The sequence below is a fragment of the Homo sapiens genome, chromosome 13 (genome assembly GCF_000001405.40).
Source record: "Homo sapiens chromosome 13, GRCh38.p14 Primary Assembly".
In the NCBI taxonomy this organism is placed as follows: Eukaryota; Metazoa; Chordata; class Mammalia; order Primates; family Hominidae; genus Homo; species Homo sapiens.
Genome location: NC_000013.11, coordinates 48,429,929 through 48,446,160, shown reverse-complemented (window position 1 = coordinate 48,446,160; position 16,232 = coordinate 48,429,929). Strand labels below are relative to the sequence as shown.

Below are 16,232 nucleotides of genomic sequence, written 5' to 3'. Positions count from 1 at the left end.
CATGGTGAAACCCCATCTCCACTAAAAATATAAAAATTAGCCGGGCATGGTGGCACGCACCTATAATCCCAGCTACTCAGGAGGCTGAGGCAGGAGAATCGCTTGAACCCAGAGGGCAGAGGTTGCAGTGAGCTGAGATCGTGCCACTGTACTCTAGTCTGGGTGACAGAGCAGGATTCCCTCCCAAAAAATAACAAATAAAGGGAACCTTCTTAGTTATATATACTCTAAATCCTCTAAAAATATGTGTTATCTGCTCCTTTCCCCCATGTTTTTTACCTCAAATGTTAGTCAAATAGAATACGTGTACATGTATACCTTAGCCATTAAGTATAAACAGATAAACCGTTTCAGACTTGGGTCTTTGAAATAATACTTTGTTCCTACTTACACGGTGCTCAGGGTCTGGTGAGAAGAGGCACACAAACAAGGAAATAAGTATGTGATGACAAATTCAGAAAAATCCTATGAAAGAACAGGGTTCTCTCATGAAGAATAAACAGGGAGATCCAGGTGGATGGGGTGGGTTCAAGGAAGGCTGATCTGGGAAGGTAACATGGACGCTGAGTCTTGAAATGTGAGAAGGAGGCTGTGCTTTGAAAGGAGAAGGGGCAGAGATCTTCCAAAAGATGAAAGATCATATGCTAAGAAACTGATGTTCTTTCAGAAAATGAAAGAGGCCACCAGAACTAAAGTACCCGGGTGGGATAGTGGAGAGGTTGCTAAAGAAGAGGTTGCTGTATGATCACGCAGAATCTGAAAGACCATGGTAAAACGTTTAAATATTCTAAGAGAAACAGTAAACCAATTACAACAGAAACTCTGTTTTAGGATAAGTCACTAATATAGAGATAGCTAGTTCAATTGTGTCTGGCTTCCTATCACATCACTAGCACTTAGTACAGAATTGGGGTCCTAAAAATATTTGGCAATGATGACCTGTGTTGCTTTCAGGAAAGTATTCCAAGTGATAGGGTCCACCATAATCCATATTGCTTTAGCTCTGTTACAAGTGACAAAATTTTCTATCAATTTCCAACTTCCTAGCTCCAATGTCTCAAGAATATGCCAGGCGGGTGTAGGCACAGCTCCAGACAGCAAACAACTTTGGGGTTGTATGCATATAACTCAGGAGTTAACTCTATTGATCTGTGAAATTAAAAAAAAAAAAACTACTATTTACTCAATTTACTTAAGTCTTTAACTTCATATTATGCAAAACTGAAAATATATAAAAACTGTTGTGTTGTTATAACGTTTGGTGTGGTAGGCCTCAGGGGCAGGCCTCGGACCTTCTCTTGCCCTCCTTTAACCTGTTCCAAGGCAGGACTCTAATTTTTCCCCCATCATTGTAAATTGTGTGTCTTTAAGACCCTCCCCAGAGATGGTTTTTGCCCTATAGTGTAGGGGAGGAATGCTGACATCATAAAAATCCCAATGCTGACATCATAAAAACTGGATTAGGAGAGCTTCTGGATAGCTGAACACATGGAGGTTTCTGGAGGGTGTGGCCCCCAGAGGGCATGGAAGCTCTGCACCCCTGCTCCCATACCTCACCCTACGCATCTCCTCATCTGTATCCTTTGCAATATCCTTTGTAATAAACCGGTAAGTGTGTTTCCTTTGATTTTTTCTTTTTGTTTTTTCAGACAGTCTTGCTCTGCGGCCCAGGCAGGAGTGCAGTGGCACAATCTCAGTTCACTGCAACCTCTGCCTCCTGGGTTTAGGTGATTCTCGTGCCTCAGCCTCTGGAGTAGCTGGGACTACAGGGGCATGCCACCACACCCAGATAATTTTTGTATTTTTAGTAGAGACGGGGTTTTGCCATGTTGGCCAGGCTGTTCTTGAACTCCTGGCCTCAAGTGATCTGCCCACCTCGACCTCCCAAAGTGCTGGGATTACAGGCTTGAGCCACCGTGCCCAGTATCCTTGAGTTTTGTGAGCAGCTCCAGCAAATTAATTGAACCTGAAGAGTGTGGTGTGAGAACCCCAATTTGAAGCCAGTAGGTCAGAAGTTCTGGAGGCCTAGGATGGTGTCTGGGGGTATGAGGTATGGGCACTGAGACCCCAACCAGTGGGATCTGACACTATCTCCAAGTAGACAGTATCAGAACTGAGTTGGAGGATGCCCAGCTGGTATCTGCTGCTTAGTGTGTGGGGAAAAAAACCCACACATTTTGTCACAGAAGTCTTTTGTGTTGACAACTGTTGTGGTGGTATGAGAGCAGAAGAAAAACATGGTTTGAGAGAGTTTTTTCCTACACATCACTATGTTCTGGGTTTTTATTTCAGCAATAGCATGTCATCAACAAAAATGTTTTTCAGCTTATCTTTTTTCCAAAAGAAAAAAAAATGTATATAAGCAATATAAAACATAGCCAGGTCTAAAAGCAACGGAGGTGCCTAAGATGGAAAATTTAAGGAGGCATTTACTCTCACTTGCACAATCTTAGTATGAAATGTACCCTTGGTGCCCTGAACACTAAACTGACAATAAAAGCTAGTTAATTTAAGATACACTGGCAAAATAGAATGATGTGTCTTTTACTTTCATGGTTTCCTTACACAAGAATGAAAGTACTTTCAGTTTAAAAGGTTTTATTTGAATGTATTACCTCATTTAATCTTCAAAATAAGTCTTAAAATTAAGTGTTATTATTCATTTTATGAATCAGAAAACTTAGCTATTTTAGTAAACTGTGACTTAATACATTAGAAATATTTTTTGAGTGTGGAATAACATTTGAAGTTTATAGATATTAAAACTAAAACTCTTTTAAACTTCTTTTTAAAAATAAAAAAGCAAATGAATAGAGAAGCTTCCTAGAATTAAATATTAAGATATTTATGACTCTTTCTTTAAAACATTTTATTAATTTCTTATTTTTCAGCTTTATCCATTTACTGAAAAAGGAATCTTTTTTCTTAGCTAAAAAATAGCTAAGCATTTTTTTTAAGTCTTTCAAAACAGTAATCCTTTCGCTAAATTATAGACTAAGAGGAGATATTTTTAAGAACATAACAATGTTTAAAGGAATAGTAATGTTATATCAATGACATAATTTTATACACATGAACAAACACATTTTAAAATGTGTTTCAAATGGATTTATTAATTAAATGTCTTAAAATGTCTTTCAAAGTGGATTTATTAATTGATATCTTGGTCAAAATTTTCAAAGAAAATGAGAGATATATCAATTTGATTAGGTCTGATTTCAAAAATTTTTATTTTATTTTAAACTAAGTTACTTTGTGGTGTTGGGTATTTTTTTAAATATTTAAAGTATTTTGAAAAGTGCAATATGTAAAATATATTTTGTGATTGTTCTGTTAATTTTAAAATATTGTTTAAAGAAAGGACTTCCTAACTCAAAATTAGCCAAGATTTCTAAAATTGGGTCCAGGTTTACTTGAGGATGTCTGATATACCAGCTCTGGGAGGCAGCTCCAAGGGAGATGACAAAATTCATGTAATTAAACTAAAATAGTCACTTATCTGAATGAGGTGTTAACAGAAGTCAAAGTCCTCACCCATCATTACTATCTTCAATTCAGTGAGGGTCTTCCTCCTTTCTAATAGCCAGGAAAAAAACCTTGTTAAAGAGTTTTTGTGGAATTTATCCTAAGTACAGTAGGAAAGTTACCTTCTGAATCCAAAGAAAAAAATCCTGTTCTAACTGAAATAAGACAAAAATATCTATGATGAATATTTGCAAAATGAATAAAAACTCATACTATATCCATCCTGGCTAACACGGTGAAACCCCATCTCTACAAAAAATACAAAAAATTAGCCGGGCATGGTTGCATGCGCCTGTAGTCCCAGCTACTCGGGAGGCTGAGGAAGGAGAATGGCGTGAACCCAGGAGGCAGAGCTTGCAGTGAGTGGAGATGGTGCCACTGCACTCCAGCCTGGGCAACAGAGCAAGACTCCATTTCAAAAAAAAAAAATAAAATTCATACTGTAGGAAGAATTAATACTATAAAAGGAACTAATACAATGTGAGAAACAGACATTAAAAGAGGAATAGGAAAGTTCTTGAAGCTAGCATGTCTGAATATGATGAAAGTCAAAGATGCCTCACCAAATTTTGTAGATGTAGAAGGAGTGGGTTACGACTGAATAGAAAAACACAAGAAGGGTGAATTCGAGTTTAAAAGTCAGAAATAAACATGCTTGTACTGCTAAGTGACAAGGCATCAAATTATCTATTAATAATGCTCATGACTAAGATTTGTGAATAAGTTAAAAACAAGTGAATAAATAGGTCCTATAATTAAATGATCAAAATTAAAGTCATTTTTAAATAATTCCTGCCTCTTAACTAGGATCTCTATACCACAGAATGAAAATCACCAGGTTTTTGCCAATGGGAATCTAACTGGTACCCTTTACCCATATATATAATTCTATGATAGCAAATTGTGTCAAGTTTAACCTATTCCTAGTGCTAAACTTTTTTGTTAAAAATTGCTTGATGATTAAACACAGTATAGTTTTATTTTCTAGTAAATAACACTTAAAAATTAAACAACACTATTAAAAATTGTATTGGTTTTTTGGGTTTTGCTGCTTCTACTTCTAGGTGGACCTACTCCAAGTTCCCAGAATTTCATAATCCTTAAAGCTTCCAATTCTGAAACAGAACTAGATCTAAGACAGTAGGAGTAGGCTTATTAGCTAGTATTGGGTTCCTACCAAGTGATTTTTGTTGATATGCACATGTTACTACTTCTATATGTTTGGAAACCCGTTGGTCATTCTTGCCCTAGTGCCTTAAAATCAAAGGTTGGCCAGATACAATAGAAATTTGATATGTAAAGGTAACATAAGGGTCTTCAGGCACAATTTAGTTTCAACACATCCCTCATGAAAAGGATGATTAGTACCCTTATAAAAGGGACCCCAGAGAGCTGCCTTGTCCCTTCCACCATCTGAGGACATGGTAAGAAGGTGCCATCTATGAACCAGGAAACAGGCCTCCGCCAGATATCAGATCTGCTGGAAACTTGATCTTGGACTTCCCAGCTTTCAGAACTGTGAGAAATACATTTCTGTTGTTTATAAGCCACCAAATCTATGGTATTTTGTTAAAGCAGACTGAACAGATCCAGTGTAATAAGAGTTCAGAAAATCTAATGATTAATTTCAAGCTTAGACTATCAATGGCCTAGGTCATCCTTAGAATGTCTGCAGGATTCTTTTTTTCTTCCCTACATTTTAATTATAAGCAAACCTTGAATATTACAATATAGGGCATTCTTAGCAATACAGATGAGAGTTTAAAATCATAATTTTAAAATTGTTTTCTCTGATAACTATGTGTTCAATTTGCTTTTTAAGCTCCTTTCATTTTCTATTTATTATGAATACATTAATTTTTTAAATGAAAAGTTAAGCAAGTATAAGAGATGTCTCTTTTTTACCTTTTAACAAAGAAAACCCTTTATCTATGAGTGCAACTACAATTTTAAATTTAACTAAGTTCTTCTTGGTTAAAACAAAATCATATAATTAATACTGACTCTAGCCCTTGATCATAAATTCTTTGACACAGTAGAAGAAAGGCAAGGCAGATCGCCTTACCCCAATCTTTATATATATGAAGCCAAATACTAAATTTCAACCAAAAAATTAAACTTTGGATCATGTGCCCATCAGGCTATGCATGTAAATAACAAACATTAAAGTTAAAAAATATGCATTAGCTATTTGTACATAAGTAAATGAAAATTAACAGGGCCCAACATAGACAATATCATACATAAAAGAAAGATGTCTTCATCAACTCTAGCCTCCCTCCTCTTTGCCTCACAGAACATAGCAAAAGTTATCTCCCAAATTTCAACCACTTCTATCTCAGGAAAAATAGTTAATATTTTGTAGAACATCTGACTTTAGTTTTCGGTTATATTTTATACTGTAAACTCCTATTTCCTGATATGGCTTGTAATTTATTTGGGAGGCAGCATATATCAGAGTCCCCAAGGAAGCTTTATTAAACATGCATGCCAGGTTTCCCTTTTACTCCCAAGATTTTGATATACCCAAAAAGAGAGAATATCTACATGTAAGAAAAGCTCCTAAGCAGATTCTAATGTAATCCTACTATTCTATCTCCTTCCTACCCTATTCCTGATACTTCTCTCATATACATATAAAAATATTTAGACTTATGTATATATGTATGCATGTATCTATCTAATCTCCTCCACCACCTCCTTAAGAAGTATAAACTATATTTCTGCATTTTTCTAATTCTGATATAAATTTCTGAAAAGTGACTTAATATTCTTTCTTAAATAGCAATATTGTGATAACAGTTCAATTTCTTGTCTTCTTAGGTTCAAAAAGGCCTTCTTTCAAACCTTCCCCAAAGCCTATTTTCTGGAACACTAAAAACTCAGGCAAATTTGAGGTCTATCAAATGTAAAAAGTACAGACTCTACTGTGAATCTCAGAAATTCTCTAAATCATAACACATTCAATAGCTGACAGAAGACTTTTGTTTCTCTTTTTCCCAGCATTTGGGCTAAAGTGATGATACGGTAAGAAGGCAGAATATTCTGAACATTTCATTAACTTTAGTTTATGAGGATTAATTTTTAACTTTATCCCAGACTCAGTGGGCAAAAATGTTGTGTGGACTGGTGAGGATATTGCACTATAAGGAAGATTAACAACCGTAATCTTTCTATCATGCCTGATTTCGATAACTATGATTAATGATTCAAAGTCATTACCTTATACTTCATGATTCTATTTTATTTCTCTCACTACCTCACTACCAAAATTCTGTCTTCATGATTATCTTAATTTAATAATAGTACTAGTTAATATTTATTGAATATCTACTATATGCTAGGTTCTATGCTAAATATTTTACATATATTATCTCATTTAATCTTCAAAATACGTCCATAAAGTAGATATGTGTATTTTATAGAAATTATAAATTTTGCCCCATATTATATGGCTGATAAGTGATGGAGCAGTGATTCAAACCCAAGTCTACCTGTTTCTAAAACTTGTGCCGTTAGCTGCTATACTAGTATGGGAGTCACGTTCCTTTGCTTACTGCCTCTTTCACTCTTTCTTTGCCCATTGTCATGCTTTTAACCATGTTTCTAGGTTGCTGTTTACCCCTACAATTAGTTCCACTGGCCACAATTCCATCTATCATTCATTCACTGATCCATTCATCTAGAGATGCTAAGAGAAATAGCACATTCATAGTAGTACCCACTACATAGAGTTGTTGTGAAAATAAAATAACCTATATAAAAAGTTTGGTATGATACATGGCACATGATAAGCAATCAATAATTCTACCCTCAAAGAGCTTAACAGATAACATTTATTGAATGCCAGACATAGCACCAACCACATTACTTATATTATTTAATTCTCACAACAAACTCTAGAAAGAAGGTAATTATTTTTTAAATGCCATTTTATAAGTGAAGAAAGGTAGACAAGGAGTAAATTGTCCAGTCACATGAATAAGTGGTGGATCCAGGACACAGTTCCAAACTGTTTGATTTCAGAGCCTTTGTTTTGAACTTTTATGCTATAGTTTACAGTCTAATGAAAAAAAAAACAGATAAGTAAATAAAAAATAGCAATACAAAGTGCTAAGTACCAGAATAAAAGAATACACAGGGTGCCATGAAAATCAGAAGAGACAACTAACTCAGATTAGGAGCATTAGAGAAAACTTCTTGGAAGAGATTATGCTTGAGTTGAATCCTAAAGAAAGAACAAATTATTTTAAGTAAAAAGCAGAAGAATAGTGTGCTCAGAAGCAAGAGAAGAAAAAATAATATGGCCCTGGGGAAACTTCATGCAGCTAATCTATAAGATAAGAAAAATAATGCTTACTATAGGGCTGTTTTGACAACTAAGTTAGATAATAAATGTAAAGTGCTTAGAAGGGCACCTGGCACACAAGCCTTTGAGACAGAAATTTTTCTTTCCATAATGCTAAAATACAGATTTCATAGCAAGGAAATAGCAAAATATAAACTCGCTGAAGGATTTTAGACAGGTGACTACCAGGGTTCAGATGGGACTTTCAGGGAGTTCTTAAAATAAAATTCCAGTGCCAAGCATATAATGGACACTTGGTAAATATTTCTAGAATATTGACATATGATGCAGCCATATCATGAGTCAAATTAACTACAGCAAAGCACAAACAAGAAAACTGATAATAGGATTTGTTTTCTAATTGACACTAAGTCATAACTATGGCAGCCAGCCTCCAAGATCACCCCAATAATCTCTGACACTGGGTATTTATATCCTTGTGCAGACAGTTCCTAAACTGTACCAGGGTTAGTCTGTGGGCCAATGACATAGGGCAGAAGTGATGGCATGTCACTTCTGAGATGAATTTATAAAAATCTGCAGTTTCCATCTTAGGTTCTCTCCCTCTCTAGGATCTCTTCCACTGGGGTTGAGGCAGGGAGCTGCTATGGAGTAGCCCTACGGAGAGGCTCACATGGCAAAAAAAATGAAGCCCCTGGCCATCAGCCAGCAAAGAACTGAGGCCTGCCAACAACCACACGAGTGAACTTGGAAGTAGACTCTCCAATCCCAGTGAAGCCTTAAACTAGCTGCAGCCTTGGTTGACAATTTAAGAATCTCTCATGAGGAAACATGAGTCAAAATCACACAGTAAAGCCACTCCCAGTTTCCCGACTTTCAGAATTTGTGTGAGATAATAAATGTTAGTTGTTCTAACAGATAATTAATATAGCAATTGATCTTTTTTAACTATAAAGAAAATATTTCATGGAATACTTAACTTTTGAAAGTAAAATATGTATATTTCTTTCTAAAGCATTGTTTCTATCCAGGACTTGGGCAGTAGTTTTCTCTTGTACTCAACTCATGTTATTACTTATCTACTCAAATTAACTGTCAGCCTAATTGCTCTCTGAACAACGCTTCACTCTGTTTTGCTACTTAGTCTTGTGAAGGAAACCAGGCTCTCACTGTCAGCAAGATTAGTATAAATTTCACTGGGTAAATAATATTGATAGAAAAAGTAGAAGCTATAAGTCTGTTCTACATGACTTTTCATAACTAACATACATTTCTAAGGCAAGCATGAACTTGTCTAGAAAGTAAAGGACTCCAAGGCTATTAAGTCAAGGTGCTCCTAAAAGAGATTCTGATTATCAAAGTAAGTACAAGTCAGTAGTGCTAGTAGAAAAATTAACAATAGAGGAAGTGGAAGGCAGAAATTGCTATTGTTTTCTGGGTATTTTAAGGAATATTATTAGAACTACATTACAGGAAATGTTTTTGTGCCACCCTAAGCTAAATTCTAAGACTGTTTTGCCTCGCAAGAGGAAACTAGAATAGAAAATAGAAGAATTTTGGCAGACCTTGGCCTTTCTGAAGATCTTTTCCATTTTACCTTGCTGGTCCTTTAATACTAATATTTCTGCAGATCTGCTTGCCAATACATATGCTGGCTGAGCCACTATCATGATTTTTTTTTTTAAGAGAGAGTCTTGCTCTTGTCACCCAGGCTGGAGTGCAGTGGTGCAATCTTGGCTCACTGCAACCTCCGTCTCCCGGGTTCAAGCGATTCTCCTGCCTCAGCCTCCCGAGTAGCTGGGATTACAGGCATGTGCCACCATACTCAGCTAATTTTTGTATTTTTAGTAGAGATGAGGTTTCACCATGTTGGCCAGGCTGGTCTCGAACTTCTGACCGCAGGTGATCCGCCTGCCTTGGCCTCTCAAAGTGCTGAGATTACAAGCATGAGCCACAGCAATTGGCCTCATGATTTTAACTATATCTATATTATTCCTAAGTCTACATTTCTGACTAAAACTATGCTTTCAAGTTCTAGATCCATATTTCCAACTGGACACCAAAGATATCCACATGAATATGTGGCAAACATCTCAAATATAATAGGTTCAAACATTAACATGAACTCATTTCCTTCATCACCAACCAGCTATGAGATGGTCTTTCAATACCTACTTTGGTTAATTGTGTTATCAACCACCTAATCACCCATAGTACAAATCTTAAAATTATCCTCAGTTAACCTCAGTTCCATCCAGGACCTAATCTTTTCATTCATCCTTTTAACATATTCGTGTCTTTATATTTACAATAGATTTCTTTTAGATAGCATAGAGTTGGGTTTTGTTTTTCATCCACTCTGATAATCTCTGCCTTTTAATTGGGCTGCTTAGAGCACTGACATTTAATGCAATTATTAATATAATTAGTTTAAATTCTACATCTATTTGTCTCATCTTTTCTTTGTTCCCTTTTTGACAAAGATACAAAAGCAAATCAATAGAAAAAGGATAGCCTTTAAAATAAATGGTGCTGAAACAACTGAACATCCATGGTGCCCAACTCAGCACCCCCTAAAAAAACCTCAACCCAAATCTCAAACTTTGTACAAAAATAAACTTAAAATGGATCATGGACTTAAAATGTGAAACTATAATTTTTTAAGTATAAGGGAAAATCTTCAGGATCTGGAGTTCTTAGATTTGACACCAAAAGCATAATCCATAAAAGGAAAAAGTGATAAACTGGACTTTATGAAAATTAAAAACTTTTGGATGAGAAACATGATGTGAAGAAGATGAAGAAAGAAGCTACAGGCCAAGAGAAAATATTTGCTAACCACATATCTAACAAAAAAGACTAGTATTGAGAACATATAAAGAACCCTCAAAACTCAATGGTAAAAAACAAACAATCCAATCAGAAAATGAGCAAAGACATGAAGAGAAATTTCACCAGAGAGGAAATACAGGTCACAAATAAACAGGGAAAGGTTAATCAATATCATTAGCTATCATCCTGATGGGAAATGCAAATTATAACCTCACTGAGATATCCTTACACTATCAGAATGACTAAAATAAAAAATAAAGACATCACCAAATGATGGAAAGAATGCAGAGAAACTGGATCACTCACTCGTATATTGCTGGCGGAAATTTAAAATGATTCAACCACTCTGGAAAATACTTTTGCAGTCTTTTATCAAAGAAAATGCAAAATAACCATACAACTCTTCAATTTTACTCATTAGGCATTTATCCCAGAGAAAAGAAAACCCATACTGATACTAAACATAAATGTTCATAGCAGCTTTATTTGTGATAGCCAAAAACTAGAACCTGTCCTGATATTCTTCAACATGTGTCTGGCCAAAGAAACTGTAGTACATTCATGCTACAAAATACTAGTCAGCAATAAAAAGGTATGAACTATTGATACATGCAATATCGTGAATGGATCTCCAGAAAATTATACTGAATGAGAAAAAAAACTAATCCTGTTTGATTCCACTTACATAACATTTTTGAAATGACAAAATTTGAGAATTGAAGGGCAGATTAGCAGTGGCCAGGTGTTAGGGACAGGGGTAGAGAGGCTGGAGGGATATGGGTGCAATTGCTTGTGGTGGTGGATACATGGACCTACACATTTTCACCAGGTCAAGCTGCCTGGTGGAATGGTGTATAGTGGAAACCCCTGAATAGTGTCTCTCTACAGGCCTGGTGTTCCTGGGCTGAGAAAGAGTCTCGGCTGTAGGGTTAAAGAGACTTCCTGGGCCAGGGTGTTTTTTGTGGCTGGGTGCCTTCTGCTGGTTTCACTTGCTTGCCTGGAGCTTCCTAATGGGGAAGGGAATCTTAGGAGTCTTAGGCTTGTTGGATAAAAGCACCTGAAGAAAAATGACTAATGCTATTTCCAGATATTGCTGACAGAGCAATATTGAAATAATCTATCTGTTAAAATTTTTTTTCTCCGTTTTTATTATCAAGACTGAATCCAAAAACAGATTCACTGAAGAATAATTTTATTTATTTATTTATTAAATGGAGAGAGATTCTCACTATGTTGTCCAGGCCGTTCTCAAACTACTGGCCTCAACTGATCCTCCTGCCTCAGCCTCCCAAAGTGTAAGGATTACAGGCATGAGCCACCAGGCCTGGCTCATTGAAGAAGAATTTTAAAACTTCAATGTTTCAATTTATAATATAATAAAATACAAAGCTATTATGATTGGAGAAATTATTTATTTTAATTCTCAACATTTTAAGAACATATATTCTTGTAACCTTTAAATAAATATTGAGGCCAGGCACAGTGGCTCATGCCTATAATCCCAGCACTTTGGGAGGCTAAGGCAGGAGAATAACTTGAGTCCAGGAGTTCAAGACCAGCCTGGGCAACATAGCAAGACCCTATCTGAAAAAAAGTATATATGTATATACATATAAATAAAACATATTGAGGTAATAAAGACAAAAGTTGTAAGATATGCTTCTTCTCAAGAAGAAACTAATTCAAAGATGATGAATGGAATAAATCTGAATAAGCCAAAGTCCTTATTTGTCTAGTTTAACTGAAAGTTTTCCAAAAGATATCATTGTTTTGTAATACAATGCATACCTACTAAAGGTAAAAAAAAAAAAATGCATTTTTGTTAACAGTAAAACAAATAAAACAGTGGAACAGTTTTATCAAGAAACAATTATGCTTTTGTCATAATATTTGGTGTAAGTTATAAAAAATGGTTTCATTTAAATACAGTCTATCCTATGTGGCATACTTATTTAAGACTTATTTAGTGGCAGAAATTCTCTGAACAAAAATTTTTTACAGATTCATCTCCAGCAGGTACTCTGAGGGAGTCCCTGAAAAAGCTCTTTTAAGTTACAAAGCAAGGCAACAGAATCCCAATTCTCTTCTTCAAATAGTATACATCTTAAATAAGAATTTTAATGCTTCTAATCAAAGATAATTTTAAAATTTAGAGTTAGTGGTATATTTAAATAATTTTAAATGTTTTAAAACATCAAAGTACATTTTCCTATGTTCTATATTTACCCAGGTATACTCATAAATAGAAAAGTACATATGTATCTTTTTGAAAAAAAAATTAACGTCTAAAAGAATCTATTTCTAATAAGTCACGTTTTAGATATTTCATAATACTGAGGTTTAGTAGCTTACATGTATGTTCATATCAGAAATTAATTTATTTCTCATATTGTTTAAAATGTACAGTGGTTAAAATCACTTTGAGAAACTTATGGTATGACAGAGTTTATAAGACACAGTAGAAAGAGTTCTTATCTAAGAGCACATAAAAAGAAAGAGCAGTATCCCATTCCAAATCTTAAAGATATTATTCTCTGATTTCAACTATATAAGCATAATAGCAAAGACTGAAATTAAATCTGGAAAATCATAAACAGCAGATTTATTAGAGTTGTAGGGTTATGCTATCTTTTTTCCTTTTAATTTTATTCTGTCTCTTATAATTGCTTTTCAAGAGCCTTAATAGTAATATCTCTCCTATATTATAAATTAAAATTTTATTCCAAGGAAATAAAATTTTATATTCCTGTACGCTTACTCAAGCATAGTTAGGACAAATAATTGACAGAAGTCAAGGAAGACAGTTGACATAGGCTGTCAGATGTCCCTGCTATCAGGGAAATTAAATTCAGGAGAAGAAAGTTCAGTCTCTTGAGGTAAACAGGATGCTAACCAAAGCATTAAAGAGTAAAAGACATGAACCTAATCACCGAATGGTGAGAAGAGACAAGTCAGGGTGGAATGTGACTGAAATGGAACTGTTGATCTGGGGCTCTTTAATGAGAGACAGCTACTCTCCGAGAAGTATTTAGTTTCAGAACACTGGCAAGTAGCCCAAAAAAAAAAACAAAAAAACAAAACATGCATTCCTATTTTATGAGGTGCCATGAAAAATAAGAATCAGAAGCAGAAATGTAGAATCTTACCAAGTTGAAATACTGTTTAGAAATTTCTATTTGCCCCAAAGATCTTGGGGACATGAACATGGTGAGTGAATTTCTGGGAGGTGAGCTGGAAATACAGATTGGAGAAGGCCTTTTAAAGATGTTGATCAGTTAAAGGTTAATTCCCTGAGACAACCACATGATTCATTCCTTCACTTCTTTCAAGTCTCTGTTCAAATGTCCCCTTATTAGCAAGGCCTTCTTTGACCTCCCTATGTAGAACAGTAAAAGCCCACCCCCTTTTTCCTCCTAAATTATTTTTCTTCAGAGAACTTATCACCATATGACCAGTTGTATAATTGTTTATTTATTGATTGTCTTCTCCAAATAAAATATAAGCTCAGGGATTTTGTTTTATTCACTGCTATATTCCCAGCACCTAGAAAAGCACCTGGTACACAGTTACACTCAATAAATATTTTGCTACTGGAAAAAAAAATAAGTATCAGTTGACCCAGAGATGAAGACAACATAAGCAGGAAAAAATTTTAATATGCCTGTCTTAATTTCCTATTTATATGGCCAGGGCAAAAATCCAGCAATCTTTTTCGGTTAGGTTGAAATAGTCCACTTCTGTTTAACTAAAACAACAACAAACGGCTGGGCTTTAACAGGGGGCCTTTTGTAGAAGCCGTCCTTTGGTCTTTTGTTTCTAACCTTTCTGGAGTAGTGCTCGTATCTTCTAGTATAGACAGGAAACCCTCAAATTTTCCAAACATGTGAAAACAGTTGATTAAAGCAAGCACACTAGAAAACCAATAAAAAAAAGTAACCACAGAAATTTTGCTCTGGGAATAGATGACTAGTGGCTTAGAATCATACCAATAATTCTTCCTTACCTTTGAGTATCAGTATCTGTTAAAGAGCTAGTCTCTTTGAATTCCAAGTGGGTTAAGAGCGAAACATTTATCTGCATAAATGCCTAAAGTCAAAATATGTTTTTGGTTTTAAGCATACTTGCTTTAATGTTCATAGCACTAGTCCTTAAAAATCAATCATCTATAATAAAAAGAAAAGAAAGAAGTCTAATCAAATGTATAGTCATTTTTATTTTGAAGGCCAAAACTTAAAAAAAATACAAATATTAAATTTGGGTACCTAAAACTGAGAACCACTTTTAAGTTAAGGACAAAATGATATGCTTGTTTAGATGCATCTCCCACCTTTTTGAATGGGTTGTTATTTTTTGTTAGTTTGTTCTAACAGACTTGTTTCCATAATTTGTCATTTAACTATTCTGTAAATGTTATAACTCATATGATTCATATGATGGACTGATGTTTTCATTCCACTTTATGTTGTTCTTGCAACAAAATTATTTAGTCAAACCTATCTTTTTTTAAACACTAGATTTTATATAATACTTAGAAAGCCTCTACTGCTATTTTTAAATATATTATTTTATTTTAATTGTTAGAGTTGGGCTGTCACCCAGGCTGAAGTACAGTGGCATGGCCTACTGCAGCCCCAAACTCCTGGGCTCCAGAAATCAATCCTTCTGCTTCAGCCTCTTTGCTGGGATTACAGGTGTGAGCCACAGCAGGCCTCTACTGTTTTTTTTTTTTGTTTGTTTGTTTGTTTTTTTGTTTTTGAGATGGAGACTCACTCTGTCACCCAGGCTAGAGTGCAGTGGCACAATCTCGGCTCACTGCAACCTCCGCCCCCTGGGTTCAAGCCATTCTCCTGCCTCAGCCTTCCGAGTATCTGGGACTACAGGCACGTGCCACCATGCCCAGCTAATTTTTGTATTTTTAGTAGAGACGGGGTTTCACCACGTTAGCTAGGCTGGTGTCAAACTCCTGACCTCAGATGACCCACCTGTCTCGCCTCCCAAAGTGCTGGGATTATAGGCATGAGCCACAGTGCCTGGCCTCTACTGTTATTTTTCTAACGTGCTCATTTTTTTCCAGAACTTATATGGAGTCATTTTTTAAATGGAGTCATTTTTTATTGAGATTATTGATCTAGCTAGAATTTATTTTGGTATAAAGAATAAATCAAAGTCTACCTCTTTTTTTCAAATTGCTATCCTGATAACTCATGAGCATTTACTGAATTATCCTGAATTTTCTCCACTGATTTGAAGTGGATAAATTATCATACATTAAATTCCCCTGGGTATGGGATTATTTCTGGACTCCTTATAACTAAAGAAATGCAAACTAAACAAGATACTACTTTGACCTGTTAAAAGTCTAATAATAATCTGGTTTGGGTGAAGGTGTGGAGAATGCAAATTAGGAGGGGATTTTTTTCTTAGAAATGAAACTGCTAGGTGATATAACCCACAGTATCTACAGGTGAACAAACTTGTAAAAACATGCACTGAAAACATACTGAGATTTTTACTGGATTGGCATTAAATGTATAGATTTGTCCCAGAAAAACTGCCTGGCACATGT

The 16,232-nt window shown here is 35.3% G+C and overlaps 2 protein-coding genes across 8 annotated transcripts in view; one reads left to right on the top strand and one right to left on the bottom strand.

Moving 5' to 3' along the window:
• Positions 1-16,232, bottom strand: part of RB1 (RB transcriptional corepressor 1) — a 178,140-nt gene that overhangs the window by 35,730 nt on the left and 126,178 nt on the right. The gene's annotated exons all lie outside the window — the stretch shown is intronic.
• The window catches only part of LPAR6 (lysophosphatidic acid receptor 6), a 55,099-nt gene continuing 40,358 nt past the window's right edge, over positions 1,492-16,232 (top strand). For 3 of the 6 annotated variants that reach the window (XM_047430021.1, NM_005767.7, XM_047430019.1), the window contains exon 1: positions 1,492-1,608. The gene's annotated coding sequence lies outside the window, so the exon portion shown is untranslated. Of the gene's footprint in view, positions 1,609-6,462; positions 6,553-16,232 lie in introns of those variants that run through there. The other 3 variants (XM_047430022.1, XM_047430020.1, XM_047430024.1) reach the window with 2 other exon arrangements.